Genomic DNA, 26516 nt, shown 5'->3' with positions numbered 1-26516 from the left:
ATTAAAGTGACGTGAAATCCTTTTCAATCACCATTTAGGGACAGTTACCGTGCAATGAGAGCAAGCAACTTCAGAATTTCTTTCGACCTGAAAACCTAAAGTCCTCTGAGGTAAGACCAGTGTGGGGAGTGGCCCTTAGAATGGTTGAGAAGAAGAGCTGGTCCCACCTGGAGGCAGGACCTCAGCGGGGATGGCTGGCTCCCTCCCTCTACCCTGGACACAGCAGGCACAGCCAGAATGCTTCTCACAGGCCAGTCATGACACTTGCTCATCAAGAGCTGGGGTGGAGCCCTGGAGGCCCTGCTGTGACTGGTGTTGGCCCTTCAGATGCTGGGGAGGTCTGGGGGTTCTGGAGGGGTCCAGGCAGTGGCTATACAGCAACCAGTATGGAAGTCCAGTCATATTTTCACCCAACCAGCTGCCTGGGCAGCCTGCGAAGAGTTTGAACCACCGAGGGCCAGACGGCAGCACCTCCCGGTTCTCACCAGTGGTGAGTAGTGAGGCCCTTTCTTCTCAGTATCACTGATGAGCAAGACCACGGTACTGTCAGGGCCTGCACTTGATCACTGCCCGGAGGTTCTACCAGCCCACCTGAGGGTAGCACACAGGCCTGCTCCATCGGAGGGTCCCTACCCAGACTGCGAAGGCTGCAGGTGCCACCCGGTGAGGCCAGGCCTGCCCCTGGCAGTTGCCCCTCTGATCTTCTCTCTCAGCTGGGCCTCTGCCCTAAGACCTGGGCTCCCAGCTTCATGAAGCCCTCTGATGTCCTTACTCTCTGCCCATCTTTCCATACTTTGTCTCTTAGATTGCAACTTGGTAGAGAATGAAGAGGGTGGAATTTGCCCCAGGATTTTCAGAAGAGGGGATTTCTGGACAAGTATTTTTCTTCCTCACTGCATCCCCAAAATGCCTTTCCTGACCCTGCACACGGGTTGCCCCCCAGATACCAACTCTCCTCTTCATTTTCATCCATCCCAAGCCTGGCTTTAAATCCCACCTCTCTCAATTCTTAGGATGCCCTGCACCCATCTTGGAACATAGAACTAACGACCACCTGGCTTGCCTATCAGGTCCCAAGGGCAGAAACCGGGATCCCCCTAGCATGGACTGCACGGACCTGAGTGCACAGCTGGCAGGACACAGCCCTGAGTAGGAATGACCCCAGTGGGCAACTGCTGGGGACAACTGGTCTTGCCACTGTACTCTCCTTCCGCAGGTTTGCAAAGGATCCAACACTCCATAAGTATCAGGGGCCTGTGCTTTCGGGAATATGAAGAAGAAAACACAATGGCTGCCTTCGAGACAACAATTAGAGCGCTATAAATGACACACTGCCCAGAGAATCAAGGGCTGAATTTTTGGATCAGACTCAGTACAGGGGAAGAAACAGGAAAGGGGTCTTGCTGGAGCTGGTGTTTGGTGAAAAGCAGGGTGGAGTGGGACTTGGCTGGGAGTCAGGGAGAGAGAAGAGGCTCCGGTGTGGAGGGTGGGGCAGCTGGTTGAAGCAGCAGGTGTCAGTGAGGTGGGAAAGCCCCTCCCTCAGTCAGCCAAGTCCCCTGGGCTGGGCTGGTTCCTGGGGACAGCTCCCTGGGGACAGCTCCCTGGGCAGGCCAGCCCTGCTGCATTCCCCGGGCCCTCTGCAGGCATCACACTTCTCTCTGCCAGAGCCCCCTTCTCATTTTCTTCATCTTTGAGGGCCGGAATGGGTCTAGGGCAGACCCGACCACACCATGTGCCTGGCAAAGAAGTGGATGAAAACTGAGCTGGCATCACAGTAAGTTCTACCAAAGGCAGGCTGTACCTTTGCAGCTGCTGACATTCCATTAGCATGAGTGGCCCAGAGCGGATTTTCTCAACCCGACCACATCCTTTCTGGGCTGGGGCAAGTGCTCCACCAGTCACTCTGGTCTGATCTTTCACTCCAGGATCCTGGGAGGATCCAGATTTGCTCCTGAGATTTCCTTGGGCTGGCAGGTGAGCGCTGCCAGAGGGATTTTCTTCCACAAAGAACCCTGACCTGTGGTCCTCACCTTCTGTGCCTCTGTATGGCCTTCACAGCTTTCCCACTCTGGCTCTACCCTCCCTTCCTGCCATCCTCCCCATGACCTTGGGCGCTGGTACACTGATCACATGGGTATTAGCAGCTCCCTGAGCCTCGGAACAGGCTCCGGGACTCATCCGTGCTGTGCTTCTGCTGTAGCCTCTGCTGAGATCACCCTTTCCCCTCTGACATTCAGCCAGCTCCTAACCAGATGTCGCCCTCTGGCTTTCTGTATCCCCATGGGGGCTGTGCACAACCCCCTCTAAGACAGCCTTCCTGATGTCAGGATGTGGTTATCTGTGCCTCTGCTGGCTTGCCTCTAGTTCACTGCAGAACTTTCTCCCACTTCCAACAGGGATCAGCAAACAACTCCACTCCCTCAGAAGGAGCAACTCAGCTGCTCTTCTGACTAAGGAGCACAGGCCCCCTCTCCATCCTGTCCACTGCAACGGGTAGCTGCTTCTCCTCACCCACCTATCAATGCTTAGCCCATTTCTTCAGGAAGCCTGGCGGAGCCCTGGCATGCCGTCAGGACTGGTGGGTGACATTCTGGGGCCCTCACAGCCAGGGGGAATCGAAGCTGTGGCCACAGCCTCACCAGAACGCTGTGACTCCTGGGGGAAGCTGGGGGGAGGCTGCTGGCAGTCGGGGCTGGGGATAGAGTAGGCAAGCCTAGGCTCCCCTTCCCCTTGCTTACCTGTCTTATAAACCAACTGAGCCTAAAACACCACTTGAATAAAGGATTCTGAGACTAAAAAAACTATTTCAATCCCACGGCTCCAGCCCTCCTCCAAGATGTCCCTATGTGACCACGCTGTCCTTCTCTGAATGTCTGGCACTGTGTTCCATTAGCACTTAATTACTTTATACATATATATACACACACACACACACACACACACACACTTGGGGCTCAGGACACACCACCCTAAAATATGACTGTTTGAGACCAGAATATGCCACCCCAAAATATACTTTGGCATATTTTATATTTTGAGTTGGTTATTCCGAGAAACTGCAGACACAGAGTAGCTCTGAAAAGCTGCCCTTTTATAAAAGAAATTTCCTTTTTTTTTTTAAAGAGACAAGGTCTGGCTCTGCTGCCCAGGCAGAGTGCAGTGACGTGATCATAGCTCATTGCAGCCTCGATCTCCTGGGCTCAAGCAATCTTCCTGCCTCAGCCTCCTGAGTAGTTAGGACTAACAGGCATGGGCCACCACACCCAGCTAGTTTTTTAATTTTTTGTTAGACGGGGTCTCACTATGTTGCCTAGGCTGGTCTCAAACTCCTGGGCTCAAATGATCCTCCTGCCTCAACCTCCCAAAGCATTGGGATTACAGGCATTAGCCACACTGCCTGGCCTAGAAACTTCCACCTCTCAGGGAAATCTACATTAGTAAAAGTATCTATAAAGAAGAGGGCTGTTCCTGACAACTTCTATCACCCGAGAGATTTTTATCTGCATAACAAAAGGACCTTTATTCATCATCTCCTCTCTGTCACCCTCCTATAACTTGTCTCTACCACCCGCAGGAACCCCAATCCCCTTTTCCTTTCTGTAGCTCCAGATGCTATTAAGCTTCAATCATCCCGTCTTTCTTCGAATCTCATACTTGGTGGGACTTCTGTGCATACGTATATAATTAAATACGTTTTTTTTCCCGTTAATCTGTCATTTCAATTTAATCTGTAGCCCAGCCAAAGCCCTCCTCCCTAGAAGGGTGGAGGGAAGCCATTTTCCCTTCCCCTACTATGTATATAATCTTTTTTTGCCACCTAGGCTTAAGAGTTTAATAGTAAACTCATATCAAGCTTTTTTTTTTTTTTTGAGACGGAGTTTTGCTCTTGTTGCCTAGGCTGGAGTGGAATGGCGCAATCTTGGCTCACCGCAACCTCTGCCTCCTGGGTTCAAGCAATTCTCCTGCCTCAGCCTCCTGAGCAGCTGAGATTACAGGCATACGCCACCAGGCCCGGCTAATTTTTTGTATTTTAGTAGAGATGGAGTTTCTGCATGTAGGTCAGGCTGTTCTTGAACTCCTGACCTCAGGTGATCCACCCACCTTGGCCTCCCAAAGTGCTGGGATTACAGGCTTGAGCCACCGCGACTGGCGTATCAAGCATTTTTAATGTCAGACATTCTAGAATCAGTGTGCAGCCAGCCCGGCCTATGGATGGTGAAACCACCGTTTATCTTGTCCTGTGCCTCATCGTGCGTCCCCACCTGGTCTGCAAGTGCCTGCAGGCAGGGCCCCGCTGCCCTCCCCCAGCGTCTGGCACAGTGCTGAGCACACAGTATCTGCCTAGTCCTGGAGCCTGTTACTTGATTCCCCATAGCTGCAGTGTGGGCCGGACTCCCACAGCTGACAAGCAGAGCGCTGGCCAATTCCATTCCAAACTGTCCAGAAGCAAAGTTTTCCTCCCTGTGAAAGCAGGACCTGGGGAGGAACAGTGGGCTCCAGATGTGGAATCTTCTGGCTCCTCCTGACTGGGGTGGGGGTGGAGGGCCTCCATCCCAGGGGACAGTCACTGGGCAAGGCCAAAAAGTATCACTGAGGAGAGTCTCTGTGATCGAAACGCCTGAATACCGAAATCCAGCAGCTTTCAACATTTATGCCCTCCGACAAGAGCCATTCCAGAAGAGCAATGGTCACAGTACTGTCCTCGAGCCTCACACTGTGTCGTTACTCAAAGTGAATACACACTGGCCCAGGAATTAGAAACCCAAGCCAAAGTCCAAGCTCTGTGGTCACCCAGCTGGGCATGTCACAGGTCCCACACCTGTACAACAGGAGTAAAGTCACCTGTCCCACGAACTTCCACCAGGCTGAACTGTGATGACCTCTAAGTAGCAGCTGCATTCAGCTCTCCAGCACACAGGGAAGGGACTCCTGCTTTGAAGCCGCAGGCCGGCCCGATCCCAAGAAGCAAGTTTCTAGGCCAGGTGCCTCTGAAGGCTCCCAGAAAGCCCTGAGCTTCTTGGTCTGTTGAACTAGGCCCTTCACTCCTAGGACCTAAGACAGGCTTATGACAGGAAGACGATGGAAGGAGATGCATAAAGCTATAGGAACTGGGCTCTGGGCAAAGCATGCTCGCTGTGACCCCTCTTGCAAGCATTTTCCTGTTTAAGCTGTGGAAGCCCATGTGAAGTAAACACTGAGGTCTTTTAAGGCCGAACGCCCTTGCCACGCCATCGGCATCGAAGGATGATATGAAAGTGAGTGTTCTGTCTGGGAAAGGGGAAGGAGCGTGGGTCAGTGTAAACACCCCATGCGCTTGGTCACACTCCTGGGGCTAGGGAAGGACGGCCGGGTCCTGAGATGTGCTCCATCCTTGGTACTCTCTGCAGCCCCATCCAGGCCACGTGGCACACAGGCCCTGGTCTGGGCGGGGAGCCCAGTGCAGACAGAAGCCCCCTCTTTATGTGCTTATGCCCTCGTCAGGATGCTGCCAGAGCCTTCAGTAGACCACACCGGCCACCCCTCACCCAGGCTCGGTGTTCCCTCACCCACCATCCTAACCACTGGGACCTGCCGACTCCCATGCCATCTGCAAGCATGATGCAGCACCCAGGGGCACAGAAAGGCACTCAGGTGACCTAACAGAGTCAGCCCCTGCTGAACCAGGGGACATCTCAGCCCACAGGGTCTGTATGTCTAGGGCAGCACTGATTCTGTGGAGGAAGTTAGAGACCAGTGAGGTTGGTGTCTCTGTTCCCCGTTAGAAAATGGCTATGCCACAGGCCACCAGCTTTGCCAATCTCCCCAAGCGCTCCAGCTCAGGCTGATGATGGAGGCTCCCAGGAGAATGTTGGCATCTGCCTCCTCTTCCTCCTTTTCTTCCTAGCCATGCCTCACCTGCACTCCTAGGGCAGGATCACACTGCTAATTATTTGTCAAAAGGATTAAGACTTGGACTTGTTCCCATGTGAGGCAAAGAGAAACAATTTCTTCCCACTGCTATAAAGAGCTCTTAGGGTGAGACTCCTCAGAAATGAGTAAGTATGGCTTTTCCAAAAACTTAAAAAAAAATAGTTATCTTGTAGATAGGGGATATTTTTGTGGTGTCTCTGGCTAAGCCAAGCACAGTCCTGGGGTCAGAGGTCATCTCCATCCCCTTACCTGGGGGCACCAATCCTCACCCTCCCTGTGTCCCCTCCCTGGCTGCTCACCCCAGCACACCACTCTTGCTGGTGGGGGAAGTTGGCAGAGCAGAGCTGGCTGCACGGAAACACACAGGCTGTGTGGGCAGCAAGCACGTCGGGTGCACATTTTTACTTTCATATTCCTGAAAGCAGCTCCCTGTAGTTACTCAGCACCTGCAATGAACACTTGAACACAGTAACCACCATGTACATAAGGGAGCCACTTCCCTGTTGAGACAGGGCCTTCAGCATCAGATGATGTGGGTATACTTCCAGGCTCTGCTGCTTCCTGGAAGTGCCTTCACCTCTGATGGTGCCTATTCATTTGCAAGGCAGGACAGTCATGGTACTGCCCAGGAGGGTTGCTGGGAGAACTAAGGGGAAGAGAGCCTGTGCCTGGCGCATGTCACCCCTCAAGAGAGGTTAGCTGTCATTCTCAGTCATCTTTGCTGTTGTCAGACCTGTCTTCCTGCGAGATCCTTCCTTCATCTGGGGGAGAACTAGGTCTTTCTTATCTTTGTATCCTTGGTGCCTGCTCTCATATCACTCAACAAATTGCTGAAGAACGGAAGAGGAAAGTTGAGTCACAAGGGCTCACCAAGGCCTGGAACACTGTGGGTATTCCCAGGATCCAAGCAGCTCCAAGGAAGTGAAGCTGCAGGGCGTTCCTGAAACTCTCCATTCTTCCAGGTGCTACTGGTCCCATGTGTGCTCACTGGGCCCTGGGCAGCAATTCCGGATCCCTCTGGCTCCTGGCCATTCTGGGAACCCTCTGTGTGTCGGGGGGGTGGGTGGGGGGAGGGTGGGTGGGAAGTGGCAGCAGGTGTAGTGAATGCATAGAAAGGGGCATTATCTCTTAAAAGGACAGTAATTAGTAATTGCAGCTGATGGCTGTGCTGAGCTGTTTTAATGAAGAGTTCTATTTTTATAGAAAACACATAATTGAGTGAAAAAGCAGGCTATTCTCTGAGTCAGGTGGCCACGCCTCTGGAAAGTCTAATTCCTTGGCCAGGAGGCCAGAGGCTGCATAGTAAATGGTCCCCAGCCTGGGCTGCACCAAGTCGGACTCAGTGGTGAAAAGCAGGGTCCAAGTCTGATGACCCAAGTGTCCCTCCTTGTAGCCATGTGACCTTGGGCAAGTCACAGAGCCTCAGCTTTTTTCTTTCTTTTTTTTTTTTTTTTGAGATGGAGTCTCGCTCTGACGCCCAAGCTGGAGTGCAGTGGCGTGATCTCGGCTCACTGCAACCTCCACCTCCTGGGTTCAAGCGATTCTCCTGCCTCAGCCTCCTGAGTAGCTGGGACAACAGGCATGCGCCACCACGCCTGGCTTATTTTTTTTTAAATTTATTTTTAGTACAGATGGGGTTTCACTATGTTGGTCAGGCTGGTCTCAAACTCCTGATCTCAAATGATCCGCCCGCCTCGGCATCCCAAAGTGCTGGGATTACAGGCATGAGTGACCGCGCCCAGCCTAGAGTTTCAGTTTCTTATCTGTAAAATGAGAATGACAGCGTCTATTTACCCTGAGGATTGCTGCAGGACATCGTGCACATAAAAGGCCCAGCAGGGGCTGGCACTTCAGAAAGGGTTCAATACATGTTTGCCCAAACTTTCATTCTCAGTCCCCAATCCCCATTACGTGCAGGTGCTTACTTAGGTCCTCTGTGCCTCTGTTTCCTCATCTGTAAAAGGGGAATCATGAGTTTCTATCCCTCTTAGGGCGCTGAGAGGATTACAGAGCTAATGCAGCAAGGTGCCCACAGCAGTGCCCGGCTGGAGCCAGCACTGGGTGCATCATTGTTATTGTTATTGAAGCTCTTGGAGTTCAAGTATACCAGGGCGGTCCTGCCAATCAGCTGGCATGGGTTCTCGCCTCTGCTCCACCACTCATCAGCTATGTGATCTTGAGCTATCATCTAACTTTCACATTAGTTTCTTCATCTTCAAAACAGGGGTGCTGTAAAGACCAAAAAACAGAGCAACCAAACCAAAACAACCAAACTGGGTGAGGGGTGTGACAGTACTCTGGCTGTGAGATCCCCAAATCCCCGCATGGTTCTCTTCCTTCCAAAAAACAAAACAGCTCCCTCCCATTGTCTAGCAGCTGGAGAGTCCACTGGAGTGTGTTTTGTGCTTAGTGGGGGTTTCCCTACCATGGGGGTAAGCAGGCAGAGGAGAGGCCAGTCTCTGCTCCAAAGGTACTTCCAAACTCAAACAAGACATCCAACGCATTGGGAAACACAACAAGAACAGAATCTGGTACTCAAATGAGTGGTTCAGCTTTGAAGTACAGGGGCTCCGGGGACAAAGTGGACCTGAGGGGGTCCTCTGAAGATGGGCAGGAAGGGCAGACAAAGGCCTATAGTGGGAGAGAGGGGCCAGCCTGACAAGGTATGGATACCCTACCTGCACAGTAGGATGGGGCAGGGAGGGCCCTCTGAGCAGGAGCCAGCCTGCCCCTCACCCCCATTCAAGTGTGATCACCCAGACCCTGGCCAGGATGCGGGGGATATGCTGAGTGATCTAGGTCTCCCAGACACATGGTCTCTCACCCATGTTAAATCCAACACATGCTCAGGACTTTTTTAAAGAGACAGTTCTGTCACCCAAGCTGGAGTGTAATAGTGTGATCACAGCTCACTGCAGCCTGAACTTCCTAGGCTCAACCAATCCTCTCACCCCAGCCTCCCAAGTCGTTGGGACTACAGGTGTGTGCCACCACGCCTGGTTAACTTTTAAAATTTTTTGTACAGACGAGGTCTTGCTATGTTACCAGGGCTGTTCTCAAACTCCTAGCCTCGAGTGATCTTCCTGCCTTGGCCTCCCAAAGCCACTGTGCCCAGCCTAGAGGGTATGATTTTTAAAAGGACTCTAACAGGCCTTACCCTCCCTGAAAGGGGGAGGGCCACAGTCAGCCCCAGTTTTATTACCTTCCCAGAGACTAATCCCTAACACAGAAGGGACATTTTTTAGCAGCTCTTCTTAACCCTAAAACTAATTATTTTTCCTTCGGTCTGGAGGATTAGACTGACCCATGTCCTCTAATCTTATAAGGCTCATGATGATCCTCCACCTCTTAATGAATTCATTTAACGTGATCTCACTTTGAAGCTTTAAAAATCAACAGCCTGAAAGCTTTGGTTTCCTGAAGTTAGTGCCTTCTTACTTCAAAGACTGTCCCTGACCTGGTGAAGGGCCCCAGGGCTGCTCTGAGAGCAGCCTGCCCCTACCCTGCAGCTGGCTGCAGGGTTACATGGCATTCTTATCTGTTTCTGGGCTGACACAACTGGCCTCCGGGTCTCGGCTTCCCTCCCTGCAGCTACCTCCAGCTACCTTGAGAGGACTTCCCAAACACAAATTCCTGATCTTGAAAGACTTAAATGTAAACCACACAGTGCCTTTTCATGGCCATTCAGGGGTGGAAGAACTTCCCAAAAGAAGACGCTTAGGTTCTTCTTACCTTAGGAACAAAGGCAGGTTCCCAGCCAGGGCTGAGACACAAAGAAGCAATTGCCTTGGTCTCTCTGCCCTGTGTCAGACCCCCAGGGACCTGAAGATCTCCCACTGCAGAGGAGAGGTCAGCTCTGCTTTGTGGACACAGGCCTTCTCCCAGGCGCAAAAAGGCTTTGTCTTGGGGCTGGGCCTCCCCTGCTACAGAGAACCATGTGCCCTGGGCCACAATTCCTGCCTCCAGCCCCTGCCGCAAGCAGAGAAAGCAACAAGTACCAGAAGGAAAGGGTTACCATCACCTTTGAAAACAAAACCTGAAAGTATCTATGTTCCTTCCTCTTTCCTTTCTTTCCTCTCTTCCCCAGACAAACAAAACAACCTGTGTCATCTACCCTAGAAGTCTGAATGTAGGCAGACCACTAACTGGAGAATGATGACCATCAACTTTCACCTGTACATGTCACACAGAGCAAGGCCACAGAGGTTCTCACGGGACAACCCACGAAGGGAAATGCTGAATGTCAACTCAGCTTAGCTAATGAGGAACTGACCTTTGGGGAAGGATCCGGCGCTGCCAGTGATTATGACTGGCTTAACACTTCCCTCTGCCACGTGGCTTGCAAGGTTCCCCCATGGCTGGTGTCTTCCTCAGGGGCTGTGGCAGCCAAACGTGTTTAATGAACCCAGCAAAGTGATAAACTATGTTTGTGTTAATACCTTTGATTCCACCCCCTCACTGGAGTGTTGGTATGCTAAGCATCCTTTTGATGTACTACAAGTCCTTAATAAGAACAATCAAATAAACACACTGGGTTTAAGTCAGGAATGTTAACAGAAGCCCCGGGACTCATCCCCCCTGCTCATTGGAATATACCACGAGAAATATACAACAAGCGCCACCTGAAAAAAAGGTGAGGCACACCAGGTAGATCCCAGGAGTGCCCTTGAGCTCCAACGTTAGCCTTAGCTGAAGTCAGTCAAGGTATGGCTCCAGCTAATGCCTGGTTATCAGCTCAAACATTTTCCAAAACAGTCTAGGTTTCCTGGGGCAGAAGGCTGTGTGGTTCCATTTGTTTACAGGCACGTGCTCTGGCTTGTCGGGAAGCCCATATTATTCCTGTACTGGGGAGGGTCTCCGGGGCTCTGAAAGCTTCCCCCAGGACTTTCCAAGTCCCCCGGGACCAGTACTGGGCCAGCAGAAACTCCCAAGAGGGCCTACCCTGACCGACGGAGGTTCCAGGGGGTGGGAAGAGGTGGCCTTGCCCACTGTGGAGAGGGGAAGGGGAAATTGTTTGTTCTTCCCTTGACCTATGTATGGCCTGGGCTTTCAAAACCAGCCTGGCAGACTGCCAGGCCTGGGACGGGAGCCGTGACAGGCTGGTTATTGGAAAGCTCCCATCATGAGCTGAGGAACTTTGTTTGGTTACTATGGTGACCTTCACTACAAGCGGCCTGACTAAAGCCCAAGGAATTTGTTACCTAAAACCATCGCCCCACAGAGCCCATGGCTTCAGGAAGGACGCTTATCAGTGGCCCATTCCCCTTCACCTCATATTCCTGCCCCTCCCTGGTCGGGCCTCCCAGCTGCCTCTCATACCCAAAACAAGAAGAAAGGACTCACACAGGCATCTCCAAGCGTGCACGGGACCTTTCACATTCCGCGGCTTGGCCCGAAACCCAGGCCTGGATAGGGAGCTGCTGCCCCCTGAGGCCCCCTGCAGGCCTGGCCTCTTGGCCAGGGACAGCCCGGCTGGCACATGTGTCCAGGGCTTAGTCAGAAGCCCACAGGATTTCAGGAAGCTGCTCGGGGTGTCTGGTTCCCACCGTGCGAGGTTTATGCTGTCCCTGTGGGGCTGTCTGTCTCTGCCTCATCACGTTTTTTGCCTTTTTAAACCCAAGCTCCACTAACTAAAGGTCATCCCACAGCACAGAAATCAAGATCCTCTTTGCTGTGCTTTCTAACCCCTGAATTCAGAAGGCTTTTCAAAAGTTCCACTCCACGAAAGCCGGGTTTTCTCCGGGAGCCTAGAGGCTGCCTGTATGGGAGTGGCGACTTCTTGTGCAGCCAAGGAGCTCACTAACCTTTCCCCAGAGCTTCCTTCCCTGCCTCTGTCAGGGCCCAGCCTCGGCTGCCAGCACCTCCTGGACTACCTGGCCTTCCCCAGGCACTGCCGCCCTGGGGACCCAGGATACAGCCTCACGCTGTTGGTGGGCAGCCTCCTCTCCCCTCCCTACTGCCACCTTTCAAACACGGCTGTCCATCGACTGTGTGCCCTCTCCTGAGTCTCACAATAAACCTCCCAAGCCAGGGGAGAGAGAGCAGGTGTCTGTCTTTTGGCAGATGAGCAAACAGGCAAGGGGAAGAGGAGTAAGTTGCTGCAGGTGGCACAGGTCAGTGACAGACATGACTCAAGGGCTGGGACCTCACTGTGGCTCTCACACAAGGACCAGCTCACATGGACAGGGGTCCATTCCCCCACCAGTTTCCTCCCCTGTGGCAGGCCTCCCTGAAAGCAGTGAAACAGGCAAAGCCCACGCCCAGCACCAGCCAGCTTCTGCCATTCCCGAGGCAGGCTCTGGGATCCCATGCAGATGGCCTCTAACACTGATGGCTGAAAAGAGACGCCTCTAATAGGCCTCAGGCACTGGGATAGCCCTCTGTAAGGTGACTTTAAGTGTCCTGTGGATACAGATCTTACTGGGGACGATGAGGTCAGGACAAAGGGAGTTTGGTTTTTGTTATTTTGCTGCAGTGATATTTACCGGACCGGTTGTTTAATTAACTGCCTTGGCAACAGCTGGAGGCACACAGGGCTTCTCCTCAAATGCAGAGCAGCTGAGGAAGCAGGGAGCAGTGTCAATCGAAGAGCAATGACATTTTTCAGTGATCCCTGACCTGTAATGGACTCAGTGACATTTCCTGCTAATCCATGGGTTTCTATGCTCTGAGGTTTCATCTGTGGGGAACAGTATTGACTTACTTACAAAGAGATAATGGTCATACCCTATGGTCACTCACCATAGTCTGGCGGTACATGGACTTCTCAGCCCCACCCCAGCCATATATATAGTATTATATCTCTATAAATGGTATATAGAGATACAATTTTTTTTTTTTTTTTTTTTTTTTTGCTTAAAACAACAGAGATTTATTCTCTTACAATTCTGGAGGCCAAAAGTCCCTGTATTTTTTTTCCCAATTAGTTTTGCAGCCTTTTAGGGCCAGCTGGATCAAAACAGAGCTCCTCGGGATCCTGGAGGTGAGGAGCTCATGGTGGCTCAAGATGAAGAACCTACTGCTGCTTCCCCCTAGACCCACAGCCCTGGACAAGCAGACTAAGGAAAGTGAGGCACTACTGGGGGTGGGGCCTGCAGATCCCCAAATGCTTCGCAGCACACTCTACGGTGAGTGACAGGTTGCAGAATAACCTCCAGAATCCCTCAGGGCATGGAACGAAAGTCTGCTCTGACCTCAGAGCTGATTCCCCTAGGCCCCACCCTCCACAGCTCCTGAAGCCCTTGCAGTCGCTCTGCGATGTCTGCATGGGTGAGTTGTTCCCACGGCAGAGGTTCCTGCCTGCAGACACTGCTCTCCAGGAAGCTCCTTGCAAGCCTTGGGGAAGCACCCGAGACAGGGGCACAGTTACTCTGCACATTGACAACCAGCACAGTCTGCACCAGGGCTCCTCAACCTTTTTGAGGTCGGGCTCCCTTTGAGAATCTGCTGAAAGCCATTTCCATGGACTCAGGCTCACATGCACAAAATGTCATAGTTCAGGTCCAGGGGTTCTTGGAGACCCAGATGTCCACCCTTGGGCCTCCTGGGGGCAGTCACCAACCTCAAGGCAGCCCCTGACCAACGGCACTGTCAGTGAGTGGAGCACTTCCTGGGGAAGGAGTCAGCACCTGAGTAAGCTTGGGAGGAAGGGAAGGGTGGAAAGTGCACGTGTTGAGGCAGGGCAGCAGCAGGGGCACACACTGCCCGCAGGGAGAGGGACAGCTTCCTAGCCCAGTCCAAGAGCCTGGGAAGATGAACGCAGGAGGCACCCCTGGGGTGAGAGTCAAGGAAGCTGATGGGGAGCCACGAGTGGGTCCCCCACGCTGGGCAGACCCCATTTTCTGCCACACCTCACACAGCCTGGGCTGCAGCCAGATTTCCAAAAAAGGGAGTTAGCCTCCCCACAGCAGGCCAGGGGAGCTGCTTTAGCCTGGCAGAAAGCAATCAGCTCAGAAGTCAGCAAGAGATGCTGAGGGGTGAGATGTCAGGTGCTGGGATGGAGGGGCCCCCTCAGCTGGAACTGGGCAGGTACAAATCACCTTCCTTGGCTCCATCAGAGCAGCGGTGCTCCCGCCTGCATCACAGTCTCAGTTTCCAAGGAAGATTTCATTAGGAAATTCTGATGCCGAGCTGAGGCAGGCCTCTTGCTTCTCCAATGCTCCACAGACCCAGGGTGGACAAAGAGCCCTTTCCTTTCTCCAGCCTAAGATTCTAAATCTTTCTGCTTGGCCATTTCGGTTTCCGATGAAGCCTAACTGAAGTGTAAACACACACAGGCACGCAGGCCAGCGGTAGTGGGTCAGACCCTGCCAGAGAGGTGCGCAGATGGAGCTGGGATCAAAGCAAGGTTACTGGCACTAGGAGTGGGGAACCTACATCTTTTGTGCATTTTCATTAAAAATAAAATGTTCTTACCTTGTATTACTGTACTGTACTTGGGATTAACAAGACAAGGCAACTAATCCCTTGTCCACACACTGTTTTCTCTGTGTTAGGATTTCCTAAGCTACTCGCCTTTGCGGGTGAAGTGACTGGAATTTTAGCAGTCTCTCTCTCTTTCTTTTTTGAGACTGAGTCTCGCTCTGTCGCCCAGGCTAGAGTGCAGTGGCGCAATCTCGGCTCACTGCAACCCCTGCCTCCCAGATTCAAGTGATTCTCCTGCCTCAGCCTCATGAGTAGCTGGGATTACAGGCACCTGCCATCACACCGAGCTAATTTTTGTATCTTTATTAGAGATAGGGTTTCACCATGTTGGCAAGGCTGGTCTTGAACCTCCTGACCTCAGGTGATCCACCCGCCTCGGCCTCCCAAAGTGCTGGGATTATAGGCATGAGCCACTGCGCCTGGCCTTTAGTAGTCTCTTGAATGCTGCTGAGGCAAGGCTCAGAATCAGGGCCGGCCACGAACATAAAAGACAGGCTGTGTCAAGTTGGCCACACACTCTGCTTACACCTGGCTGTGAGCAGTGGGGACCTGCCTAGGCCAGGATGGAGGGGGAACAGGCGGGGCAGGGGTTAGTGTGGACTAGGGCAAGCAGGTCAAGGCTCAAGGGTCTTGGGGCTGCAGACCAGGCTGACCAGCAGGATGAACACCCATTGTTGGCCTTGGCCACTGGGACTCCCCTCTTCAGGGAGGCACATTATGGGGTTTATATTTAGGAAACACTGCCACTCCCAAAGCACCTTTCTTTAGCTTTGGGGAGAAGGAAGCCATCAACAGCAGTGCTCGGCACGCTGGCAAAGGCCACAAGCAGAACTATGTGCTGTCGTCTGAAGGAGGCCAAGGATGCAGGAAAACCTGAACCCACCCCTGTGGTCAGCCCTGCCTCTGATGGGCTGGGGATGGACAGAGGTGAAAGCCCAGTGATGGGAACCTCCCTAGGCTGGCACCACTGAAGCTTCCCTTCATCACCCAGCAATTTTTTCCTAATCCTTTGTGAACCTGTTTACACAGCGTGAGTCACCTATCAGGGCAGCCAGGACTCTAGCTTCTTCCTTGCTGTCTGCAGGGGGACAGCCTTGGGCTGGTTCTAAATTGCCTTCCTTCAGACCCTAAGGTGGAACAGGGGGAAGTGGGTTACTTAGGGGTCCCTCATCTGGGATCACAGGGTTCTGAGAAACAAAGCCTGTTACACTCAGTGTCACCTGCCCTTAGGGGCAGAAGGCAGAAATCAAGACTCCCCCTAACTCCCCTGACAGAGCAACACATCCTCTCACCTCAGGTGGCCCAGCACGGCCTTGTTCCCAGTGTCCTGGCTGGGTGGCAGCAGGTCCTCTGTGTCCTACCACCACTTAGGCCAAGTGCAACTTAAACCCTGCTCCAAGAAGTGGGACATCTGGCTGATGCAGTAAATGAGGGAGGTGGGGAGGTATGAAGGAGCAGGACCACCTTGGAGGGCCATAACCCGTCTCCAGCTGCCAGCCCAGCTCATGTTAGAATCCCATCCTTGGCTGACTGTGTCAGGGCTATGATTAACTTACACAAGTTACTGTCATCCTGAGGCTGATGCAGAGCCCAGGGCAGGCAGAAGCAGCCCAAACACATGCATTCAAGCAGTCTCCTTTGTGGCCCATGCAGACCCCACCTCATGGGGGCTGAGGAGCAGCATGTGCACCCCATTACCCACCAGGCACCTCCTGGTGCAGAGCACCACAGCTGTCTGCTGACCCCACCTGTCCTCACCCCTGTCTCTCCACCAGGGATTGTGCATGCAGCGGGTGCTTACTTCATGTGTGTTGGCTGACACCATGGCAGGGCAGGTGTGCATGGGCGCCTGCTGCAGAGGCCAGCCAGCTCCCCCACTGCCAGAGTGTTCCCAGGGCACTCACTTGAAGTTCTCAGGGTGCTCGGTGATGGCCATGTTGACAACATCCAGGGCATGCTGGTGGTGCTTCTGGGCAGAGAAGAGCAGTGCCAGCAGGTGGAGGGCGTGGGCATCATCCTTGCGTACCTTCAGGGCCTCCTGCAGCTGCTCCATGGCACTGGAGATCTGTTGAAGGAACCCGCCAGGTTAGCCTTCCCCAGGCACATGCTGCCCTGGGACTCAGGAGCCACGTGCCAGTCAACAAGGGCACTCACACTCAACTCAAGGGAGCCCCAGGCACTGGGGGCAGGGAGGCTGCTGTGAGAAAACACCTGCCCCAGATGGCCTGGCGAGGAGGGGTCTGCTGCCACACTCAGGAATGAAGAGAAGCAGGTTTGTGGTGTGGCACAAAGGACCATGGCAGCCACCAGGAAGCACTTCCTAAATGGGAGGAGTGGAAGCCACAGGGTGAGGCAGCCATGTGTGGAAACGTCACCCTGGAGTTCTGCTGATGTATCAGGAGACCCTGCCTTCCAGGAGGAGATGATGAAAATGGGGTGCTCCAGGTAGGGGGTGCAGCTTGACCACAGGAAGGGAAGTGTGCAGAGGCAAGTGCCTAGAAGATGGGGAGACTGGCCTCTAATGTGGGCACAGTGGGAATCTGGGACTAGAATCCAGATTCTAGTCTTGTGTTTTGTTTTCAATTCAACAAATATTTATTAAGCCTGGTTCTGGACAGATGGGATGAGGCCAGATTATGCAGGGTCAGGAAAGCCACATTCTAAGGGTCTGGATTTGGATGTGGCCTCAGGAAAGCCTTTCCTTCCATGTGGTGGGGAGACCAGAGGTCACCATGGGTCCCAATTTTCACTGGCTTGAGTTTGCTGCCTCCCTTCTCGGAGCACTGCATGAAAGAGGGCAGGCCCCAGCTGCTCCAGTAGCCCAGTCAGTGAGCCCAGGAGGGGCTGGTGCAGCATGGAAGGGCACCTTCTACTGCTCCCGCCAACCCTGCAGGCAGGACTCCAATGTTCTACTGGATCTGGCTGCAGAGGGCACGGGTGATTTGCAGCTGTGGCCAGGGCCCCACCTGCAAGTGGTAACAGGGTTATGGGGTCAGTCAGTGCCCCAGCACATCCTATGGGGACTATTTCAGGGCTGAGACCACACACTTGCTTGGCTGCCTGCCACCTTGCCAGGATGGGTCTCTGCCCATAGCTGGACTTATGGGAGGATATGGAAGGTTCAAGGAGCCCTTTCCTGAAGAGACCATTCTCAGCACAACACAACACCCCCAGGATGGGTCCCAAGAGTCCCCTGGATGCAAAAGACACCCGAGGCCCCTCTCCTTGCCTCCGATTCTACCTCCCCAGACCCATCTACATTCAGCTGTGGAGGTTACTACCCTCAGAGAAAAAGCTCCCCACCCCATGGGCCCTGGCCTGCGCACTCCTGACAGGGTCTGGGGAATGTTTCCACAAGCATTAAGGAGAAAAAAGAATTCCGGCAGTTACCAACATAAACTCTCTTCTTCAAAAGAGGCTGCCAGTCCTGGTGACTATAGCAGCCCCTTACGCAGTCCCATGTGACCTGTGAGGTGGCCCGCTGCCCCCCTTACGTCATCTCCTCGTTCTCTACAAAACACCCCAGAGTCCCTGGCCCTTGCACCCTGCTGGGCACCCCTGCACCATGCCCTGCCTGAGGCAGCCCCCACCTGCTGCCTGTCATCTGAGCTGATTGATCCTGCTCGTTTTGGCAAGTGGAGGGGTCCTATATTTGTGAATACACAAGAGCTGGGTTCTAGAGTTGGTGCTGCCGCTCACTCACCTTTGTCCCTCATTCTCTCTGAATTCAGTTCCCTTATCTGCAAATTAGGCATATGCTTTTCCACAGAAGGGTTCAAAGAGCTAATGTACATGCAAAAATGCTATCTTCTATCCCTTCCATTCTTTTCACACAGCAGAGCAAGTTAGCAGCAGAGCAGGCGCTCCCAGGTGGGGGTCCTGACTCCAGGCCAAGTGCTCTTGTGTGAGCTATGCAGGCTGCTAAGCCTGTGTTTGGTGAGTGACAGGCCTGGCCTCAAAGCTGTCGCAGGTCAAGGCCAGCCCTCCTTGTGCTGTGGGTCCAGGCGCACGGCAGGGCCCAGCTGGCCTTCTCCTCCTCATCCCTGATTCCTAGCACCTCCAACCTGGCCTGATTCCCCAGGATGCAGGGAATCCTCTCCCCCACACACTGCTGCTTCACTGAGCAGTGCCCTTAGCTTGAGGTTCTGCACCCTGTAGAAAGGCTGTGACCAGGTCTGGAAAGAGAGGGTTGGGAGAGAAACTTACGGCAGGCTGGAGGGTGGAGGGCCAGGAAGGCCTGGCCCTGGGATAAAGAATCTGCCAGCTACATACCCAGGGCTGACGAGGCCCTCCCCTCTGAACATGTTCACGCGGTGATGTGGAAAGAATCTGATGTGTGGCTGACAGATAAACACCCTCTCCTGCTCAGAGGCTCTGGGGTGAGGTTGGGGTGTGGCTCCTGGCTCTGCCACTTCCCAGCTGGCACCTTAGGGCAAGAGGACTCACCTCTCTGAGCTGCAGTTTCTCTGCTACAAAACGAGGATAATGGTTAAACCTATTTCAGTGTCCATGAAGATGAGACACTATGAAAAATGCCTTGCAAAGTACTGGTGGAACAAACACTTTTAAAGTGTGCGTTTCCCTCTTCAAGCCCCAAAGCCAGAAAACTAAGGAATAGGACAGAACCTTCCTTCCAGCCTGAAGGCACGTGCTCTCAGGCCTGGGAGCTGCGTTAGCTCCTGTGACTGACTCCATGTCAGCGTTCCATCCCTGCAGGAACCCCATGAGTCTCTTTTTAAGAGTCCTGCTCCTTGCCAAACCTCAGACCCAGCCTTCCACCCTTCTCGCGGGGCCTTGGGTCCCCAGTCTGCCTGGCTTCTGTGTTGGTCTCCAGCCTGGCCTCTGTGCAGGCTGTGGGCACCAGTGCCAGGCCCGGAGTTCTCCCCGGGCACCTTACTTTGTGGATAGGTCAAGGAGCATACGAGGAGGACACTAAGATCAGTGGGGCCACTGGCTCGGCTTGTCGGTGGCCCTAAGGCTGCTCCTGTGCTGGTGACTCTGCTAGAGCAGACCTGATTATCCTGGGCTACGTATCCAAATCCACAGCCATCACTGTGCCGGCCAGCCAGATGTACTCTTGGCAGGATGGGCTGGCTGGGGGCCTCAGAGACCCAGGCAGGCTAGGACTCTAGCTTACAGTCCATTCAGGGAGTTCTCGAGTTCTCAACTCCCTGAGGCTGCCAAAATGAGGTCTCCAAGGAAACTGGGCCCTAGGCTCCACTGGCTCCGCTGGCCTGGCCCGCCATCTCTCTAGGAGGATGGATGCTATTCATCAGAGAGGGATGAATAACTGAACAGGTTAAAAAATGCATCACCAAAGGTTTATCGTTCACTAGATTAGCAAGAAAAGCACTGGTTCTTTTACAGGGAACTAAAAATAAAGTTGGTATTCCTGGGAGGGGAGGGATGCTCCTGGAGGGGCACAGAGGTGCCCCGTGCCTGTCCAGGACCTGGGGTCAGGAGTGAGGAGTGGGGACAGGGTGGGGGCGCAGCCTAGAGGTGGAGGAGGATGGAGGGAGTCACAGGGGGAGGGGCAGTGCAAGAGGAAGGGAGCGAAGCCACCGACGACAGTGGAAACAACAGCCAGGATGACATCAGGGCCGTTGGGGAGAAAATGGTTGAGACAGAAGAACCTGGAGAGGGAGACAGAATGCCTCAGAAACAGAGTGACAATTCAGGTCAGGTCAGGACAGACACAGGCACCGGGACAAGGGTCTAGGCATGGGGTGAGAGGGAAGGGGTCCCAGCACTGAGAGTAACTGTGACGAGAGGAGGAGCCAGGCTGACGCAGGGCAGAGCCTGGCTTGCCCCAGAGGCAGGAGAAATGCAGCCCGCCGAAGTGACCATAAGACCAAGCCCCGGCTGGTGAGCATGCTCTCAGGGCCCCAACTCCAAAAGGGTCAGGGGAGCGGGGTACCTAGACCCCGTGGGCTGTGGATCAGAGAGGCCTGGGTTCTATGCTGGCTCGGCCTCAGTGGTGTCCTCCGGTAAAAAATGGGACTGCTGTGGCCCGCTCCTCAGAAGGTAGGGCTTCCCCAGGCTGGTATGGGGGACACAGCACCATCCCCAGCAGGCAGGGCTGCCCTCCACCTGACAGCAAATACATGGGCTTCTTCGGGCTTCCCTCCGCCGGCCTGGAGCTCAGCCCATTTCCTGGGTGGTTCCGGCAAGGAGAGCTCCACTGTGAGAGCCAAAGGCTTGTCTGCAATCCCCAGGCAGTCAGGTGGGGGCATCGGCAGGCATCAGGGTCAAGCCACCTGAGAGGTCCTGTTTTGGAGGATGTGTGCATGCCCAGAGCGCCAGCCTGCAGGCTGAGGCGCCACAGGAAAGTAAAGGAGGCTCTGAAGGACCTGAGGTGGGGAGTCCTGGACACACCAGCATTCTCTCAGCACCCCTGGGGAAAAGGCGGGTCTGCCTGCAGAGTCATGGTGGAGGTGGTCCTGGGGCTAAGGTAGTCAGCAGACAGGAGGTCCCTATGGGGCCCCAGAAGCCAAGGCCTGATGGTGGTGTCCACACAGTGAAGGAGTAGCTTGGGGGTCACAGAGAAAGCCCAACATGCAACAGCTCCATGAGCCTGCCCATCACTCCATCCCCAAGACCCTTGGGGAAAAGCCAGTGGAAGGCGAGGACACAAATAAATGAGTGACAGGTGGTCACTCATCAACATCTCAGTCCACTGAAATGTTGTAGGGGGAGTGAGGGCGGAGAACACGCCCTTCCTGTGTACCCACCACGGCTTTACCCACATTACCTGACCTCATCCTTACTGGCCCCTCTGATGAGGGCTCAAAGGACTTACATGACAGATAAGGAAACAAACTCAGGGAGGCAAAGTCACTTGCAGAGGGTCACACAGCTGGTAAGCTGGGTTTCCAGGAGAAGATCAGCAGCCCCCGAGGACCCGGGGGTTAGGAACACGGACAACCCACCTGTCGGACGAGGGCCAGCTGCAGCGAGACATAGAGGATGACCTGGGGGTCACTGGGCGCCAGCTGCTGAGCCCTGTGTGGGGAGAGGGAGTGACAAGTCAGGCACCAGGGGTTGAGTGACCAACGTGTGACTCGGGCCTCCAGCATGCCAGCCCTGTGCTGGGCGCTATGAGGCAATACCCTGGGGGATTCTGCCAGGCTCTGCCTCAGAGGGGCATCCAGCTGGCAGATGAAGACCAAGGAAGGCGGCCCACAGGCAGCCCAAGGCAGGGACGGTGGGCCTGAGGGGGCTGGCACTCACTGAGGTAGGGGCCATCTGGGAGGGCAGCCCTGGGGTGACAGACCCCAAAGAAGAAAGACGATGGGATGAATATACAACCCATGGGCAGAGAGGGAGTGACAAGTCAGGCACCAGGGCAGAGAAGCTAGCCTCACTGCTCTGAGCATATGCCAGGAAATCCCTGTAGGGGCTGGGGATGGTGGAAGGGGTGGGTGGGTTTAGTGGGAGGGGTGGCTGGGGAGGAGCTAGAAGGAGGTGAATGCCATTTTTGAGCCCCTGTTACACATAGGATACTGTGCAAGGTGCTTTTTCTGCTTTATCTTCTGTAATTACTACAACAGCAATGGGTTACTATACCCATTTTAGACCCCTGAGCCCTGGGAGAGCAGGAACCGAGACTTGTGGCTGCTGGAGCCCCCCAGAGCTGAAGGCAGGGCTCGGCTGCCTGCCCAATCCCCAACGCCTATCCCTGCTTGCTGTGTGCAGTTCCCTCATCTGTAAAATGGAGATAGAAATGTTTGTTCTGCCCACATCAGAGGGTCTGATGACGTAAAGCTTGTGAATCTGCCACCAAAGGCAAGAGGGGCCTCTGCTGCAGGTGGGAGCCTCCTCACCTCTCCAGCGTCTGCAGTGCCTTCCGGTGCAATTCATCTTGCTTGGACTTCAGGGTGGCTGCAGGGGACAGGACAGAAACTGAGCCATCAGGGGTCACTGAAGGGTGCCGGCCCAGCCCTGCACCATCCTCAAAGCACACAGCTCTGCAGATAAAGGCCCCACCAGGGTCCCATCTGGCAAACTTCAAACTCCAGCAGCCTGGGCCAATGCCCTGGCTTCTAGCACATTCCTTGGCATGCCAGTTGCTTCTACTGCATTGCCTTCTCCACCGCCTGAACTACCTTAACCCTTTCAAAGGCCAATGCCTACAAGCATTCCACGACATGGGCACCCCACCCAGGAGGCCCAAGCCTTGAGAGAGGGGCCACCACCTCTGCCTGGCCACATACCTTCCTAGGCTTCCTGACCCACTAGGAAGTTTGAACCCAAACCAGGCACCTTTCTGGTAAACTGCATCCCATTTAAAATGCAGCAGGGCAGGTGTTCTTAGCCTTGGCTGCACACTTAACTAACTACCCAGGAAGGTTTAACATGATTGCATCCAGGCCCCTCCCAAACCTGATCAGAATCCCACTGGCGAGGACCAAGCATTGACAGTTGTCAGAGCTCCCCGGATTCGAAAGCTTAGAAAGCAACCGCTATTTGTAGAGTTAAAAGGACAAGGAGGGTGTCTTGCTCAAAGTAGACTTTGACAAAGGGGCTGATGACTCCCTCACTTGACCAGCATGTGCAGACCCAGGTGTTCCTTATACAGGGCTCATTTATACCCGATGTCACCGTGACTGCCGCTCCCAGCAACTGGCGTTTGGGGGAGGTGGGCATGGGCTGATTACTATTCCAGGTTTGGTCTGGGTGGCGGCCCGTCACTCCCCATCCCTCAAGCTACAAGATCAAAGTAGGTGGCTGCCTGATAGACGGAGTAAGACACATGGCTGAGCTGGCAGGGTTGGCAAGAGAAGGCCAGGTGTGGGGCAGGAAGGAGCAGAATCCATTAGCCGAGCACAAGTAGTTACTAAGCACCTGCTGCGTACCCAGCCCTATGCCACGTATTGAGGGGGATTTAAAAGGCTCCAGAAGATCATAGCAGTGCTGAGGTTAAAGGCAGGCCTATGAGAACCAGAATGGAAGCATTGTGAGGTGGAGGGCTGATGGCGCATTACAGACAGGAAGCAGGAGTTCCACAGAGAAGATCAGCATGGGCTTTGCTGGAGCTGTGGCTGGGCCTTGAGGCCCATGAAGAGGGGAGAGGAAGGCATGCTTGAGGGTGGCGACAGTCTGGGGGAAACAGTGGAAATGGGTCTGAGGGGCGCGTGTGTGTATGCACGTGTGTATGTGTGCACACATGGGCATCTCTCCCAGAGGAGTGCATGGTGTCTATGGAGGCATGGCCTGAGGGGAGGGGTGCCGGTAGGACAAGATGCCTCTGAGGCAGTTAGGAAGCCTGAGCCATCCCCAAGTAGAGGCCTCCTGGGGCCTGGCACTCACCGTCGGTGGCCTGCAGGCTATAGGTGAGACCCAGAGCCAGGTAGCCCTTGGGGAGGAACTCCCCGGCTTCCTCTCCGAGGCTGATCACCATCATGGCAAAGTGCTCTGCTTCCTCTAGCTGCAAAGAGGAGAGACAGAGGTCATGGAGGTGGGGTTGGAGTTTCCTCTACCAGTGAATGACTCCCTGGACCTGTTCCCGAAACAGAAGCCTTGTGCTCAAGGTCACAGGGCCTTACTCTCACAGGGAGAAGCTTCCCTTGCCCCAGAGATCCCAGCTCCCCAAATTTTGTTCTGCTGAGAGCATGAACCCAAGACCGGGCCAGTTTGGGCCAGCTCCTTTCCTCCCATGGCCTCTGTAGGGGCCTGTGTCTGTGCCTGTCCTGCTCGGCACATAGAGGAAAGCCAGGGCCGGGGCAGGCAGGGGTCTCTGGCTGGGCCTCAGGAACATGTGCCTTGCTGGATGTCCTCAGCCCCATGGAGCAGGCAGGCAGCCACTCTGGCCCCGTCCATGAGCTCGCTCCCTCTCTGAGACAAGGAGCTCAAACTTTCAGGGGAAAAAGGCCTGGGGCTGTTTTTGTCCTGGAAGCAGGAGGGACTGTTCCAGTTGGAAATGGACCAACCCGTATGGGTCACATGTGCACACATCACCACATGACATGGGACACAAAGAGAGGGGCACGCACAAGGTGGGCCTGGGGACACTCTGGGCCCCCATAGGAGTCAGGCCGGTTTAGGGGGCAAGGGATAGCCAGGGGCCTTTGTCATGCCCACTCATGGCACACATGCCTCCAAGAAAGGCCCCCTTCCTCCCATCCAACCCAGGAAATGGCATGCCTGGTGTGGTAGTGTGCCCAAGTTCATGTCATTGAAAACGCCAGTTTCCAGAGAGGGCAGGGATGCTTCCTCTGTCACTAAGACTGGCACTGACCCACCCACAGCAAGAGACTGAATGCCATGTGCAAACCCTTCAGTGCCACCCAGACATCAAAGCCCCAAGCCATGGGCATTTCTCCTGGTCAGAGGCTCACAGAGTCAGGAGACCAGGGAATGAGATTCAAACCCAAGTTGGCTTCTAGCCCCAAAGCCAGTGCTGCCCCTGCCCGGCCCCCATCCCTGCTCAGGCCCATCCCGCTAGCAGGAGATGGGCAGCTCTGGGTATCTTGGGCCTGACCACTGGACACAGGAAGAGGGGCAGTGGATTCTCTCTCCCTGGAGTTAGGAAGTGAGATCATGAGACAGAGGCTATTAGCCAGGGTGAGCTATGTGCAAACTGAAAGAGCAGAGAGGCAAGGCACAGAGAAGCCGAGAAAGCTGCATGATGGCCTGGAGGGAGACGGCGGGAGAGGCTGTCTGCCCACCATGCCCGACTCAGCTGACCAGAGCAGCCCTACAGCCACCTTGTGGGCGAGCTCAAGCTGCCAGCCGGGGCAGTGGGCTGCTTCCTGATTGCTGGGCTGGCCACTGGAAGGATGAGGGTGTCTGGGGAGCTGGGTTTCTGTCTTTGGCACCAATAGGCCCGAGAACCCAGGGCTTATGGGAGGCCATAGTCGGGGAAACCCCACAGCTGTCTACAGCTCAGCCTCAGCCGGCCAGGTGGACCCAAGGCTATAGATGCTAAGATCTGTCTCCTAGGCCACGTGGCAGCAGGACTCAGGAGGGCTGCTGGGGCCTGAAGCCAAAGCCACATGGTGAGAAGAGCACTGGAAGACAAGCCCCAGACAGGCTCCACTCCTGGCTCAGCACCTGACAGCTGTGGGGCTCAGTTTCTGTGTCCCAAGGTCCTCATCTGCAAAATGGCAGGTGGGACCCCCGCTCCTCCCCGCTCCCCACAGCCCTTCACTGAGGTTTTTGTAGCTCCAGGCCCTGTGCTAGGCCTGGCGGAGGAGCTGACACAGGAGGCACACACCTGGCAGGACCAGGTGGCCCCTAGTTAAGGCCCCACTGTGTGGTGCTGACATAGGGCTACTGGAACTCCAAGAGCTTATCAGGTGGCTGTGGTTACCCCAGGAGGCAGCAGAGGTGGAAAAGGAGGCAACAAGGGAGGGGAAAGTAAGCAAATAGCACGCTCTTTTCTTCCTAATATACCCCTGGCTAATGAGGCTCATCTCACACACTATCTCAGGCATTATGAGGCTCCATTCAAACAGAAAAAGCTTTCTTACAAACACCAAGCACAAGTTATAAAAAGAATCCAGACACCCGCTGCACTCCATGAATACACGGCCATGTCCTTCTGCTCAGCAAATGCCAGCTTCAGCTCCTGCAACCCATGCAGAGAGGGTGCCAGGAATACGGCTCAGCAGATACTGGCAAAGTATCTGTTCTCCAGTTCATATACATCATATTCTAGATTAAAAGAGCTAATCATCCTTTAGCTTTATAAAGTGAAGACACACATCCTTAATGTGTCCAACTTGTGATCCACTCTGACCCCGAGATTAGTAGCACTCCTTGTCCAGTACTTGCCAGCATTGTCCACGTAGTTTAAAACCGTCTCTAAGCCTGGTGTCAGCATTTGCCTCAAATCAAAATCCCAAGGCTTAATGTACCATCTCCCTATATGGCCAACATAATTTAATTTCTTTTTGTGTGTGTTTTTTTTTTTAAAAATAGAAAATGGTGTCTCACTATGTTGCCCAGGCTGGTCTCGAACTCCTGGGCTCAAGCAATCCTCCTGCCTCGGCCTCCCAAAGTGCTGGGATTACAGGTGTGACCCAACACATCCGGCCATAATTTTGATTTCTATTACCATACTACAAGGCAGGCTTTTTGCATGCAGAGTCATAGCAGTGATTAGGAAGGAAAAAAAGTATGATCAATTCTATTAAGTATGACAATATACAATACAATAGCACACAGTATTAATATACATG

General features: G+C 54.1%; 1 protein-coding gene across 18 annotated transcripts in view, besides 6 other annotated features; it reads right to left on the bottom strand.

The window, feature by feature from the left end:
• Positions 1 to 26516, bottom strand: part of TTC7A (tetratricopeptide repeat domain 7A) — a 160258-nt gene that overhangs the window by 30501 nt on the left and 103241 nt on the right. For 14 of the 18 annotated variants that reach the window (XR_007078570.1, NM_001288953.2, XM_047445148.1 and 11 more), the window contains 4 exons: positions 23644 to 23761; positions 22158 to 22215; positions 21264 to 21336; positions 16239 to 16399 (listed from right to left, as the gene is read on the bottom strand). Coding sequence is in view for 17 of the 18 variants with exons in the window: in NM_001288953.2 (NP_001275882.1) it covers positions 16239 to 16399; positions 21264 to 21336; positions 22158 to 22215; positions 23644 to 23761 (410 nt within the window). In the remaining variant the exon portion in view is untranslated. Of the gene's footprint in view, positions 1 to 12395; positions 12469 to 16238; positions 16400 to 21263; positions 21337 to 22157; positions 22216 to 23643; positions 23762 to 26516 lie in introns of those variants that run through there. The other 4 variants (XM_017004526.2, XM_047445146.1, XM_047445149.1 and 1 more) reach the window with 3 other exon arrangements.
• Positions 10687 to 11886: an enhancer, noted in NCBI's record as "BRD4-independent group 4 enhancer chr2:47260876-47262075 (GRCh37/hg19 assembly coordinates)". NCBI's record gives its function as "activates an origin of replication core promoter dependent on BRD2, P300/CBP, MED14 and CDK7 cofactors, and independent of BRD4, by STARR-seq in HCT116 cells {active_cell/tissue: HCT116}" and the evidence as "EXISTENCE:reporter gene assay evidence [ECO:0000049][PMID:35650434]".
• Positions 10687 to 12637: a biological region, named in NCBI's record as "BRD4-independent group 4 enhancer GRCh37_chr2:47260876-47262075".
• Positions 10918 to 11777: an enhancer, noted in NCBI's record as "H3K27ac-H3K4me1 hESC enhancer chr2:47260985-47261844 (GRCh37/hg19 assembly coordinates)". NCBI's record gives its function as "activates a minimal SCP1, AML or CMV promoter by ChIP-STARR-seq in naive H9 embryonic stem cells {active_cell/tissue: H9 hESC(naive)}" and the evidence as "EXISTENCE:reporter gene assay evidence [ECO:0000049][PMID:30033119]".
• Positions 11778 to 12637: an enhancer, noted in NCBI's record as "H3K27ac-H3K4me1 hESC enhancer chr2:47260125-47260984 (GRCh37/hg19 assembly coordinates)". NCBI's record gives its function as "activates a minimal SCP1, AML or CMV promoter by ChIP-STARR-seq in naive H9 embryonic stem cells {active_cell/tissue: H9 hESC(naive)}" and the evidence as "EXISTENCE:reporter gene assay evidence [ECO:0000049][PMID:30033119]".
• Positions 19858 to 20357: an enhancer, noted in NCBI's record as "H3K4me1 hESC enhancer chr2:47252405-47252904 (GRCh37/hg19 assembly coordinates)". NCBI's record gives its function as "activates a minimal SCP1, AML or CMV promoter by ChIP-STARR-seq in naive H9 embryonic stem cells {active_cell/tissue: H9 hESC(naive)}" and the evidence as "EXISTENCE:reporter gene assay evidence [ECO:0000049][PMID:30033119]".
• Positions 24620 to 25120: an enhancer, noted in NCBI's record as "H3K4me1 hESC enhancer chr2:47247642-47248142 (GRCh37/hg19 assembly coordinates)". NCBI's record gives its function as "activates a minimal SCP1, AML or CMV promoter by ChIP-STARR-seq in naive H9 embryonic stem cells {active_cell/tissue: H9 hESC(naive)}" and the evidence as "EXISTENCE:reporter gene assay evidence [ECO:0000049][PMID:30033119]".

This window comes from Homo sapiens, chromosome 2 (genome assembly GCF_000001405.40).
Source record: "Homo sapiens chromosome 2, GRCh38.p14 Primary Assembly".
In the NCBI taxonomy this organism is placed as follows: Eukaryota; Metazoa; Chordata; class Mammalia; order Primates; family Hominidae; genus Homo; species Homo sapiens.
The sequence above is the reverse complement of the archived record's forward strand: the minus strand, read 5'-3'. Positions and strand labels throughout refer to the sequence as shown.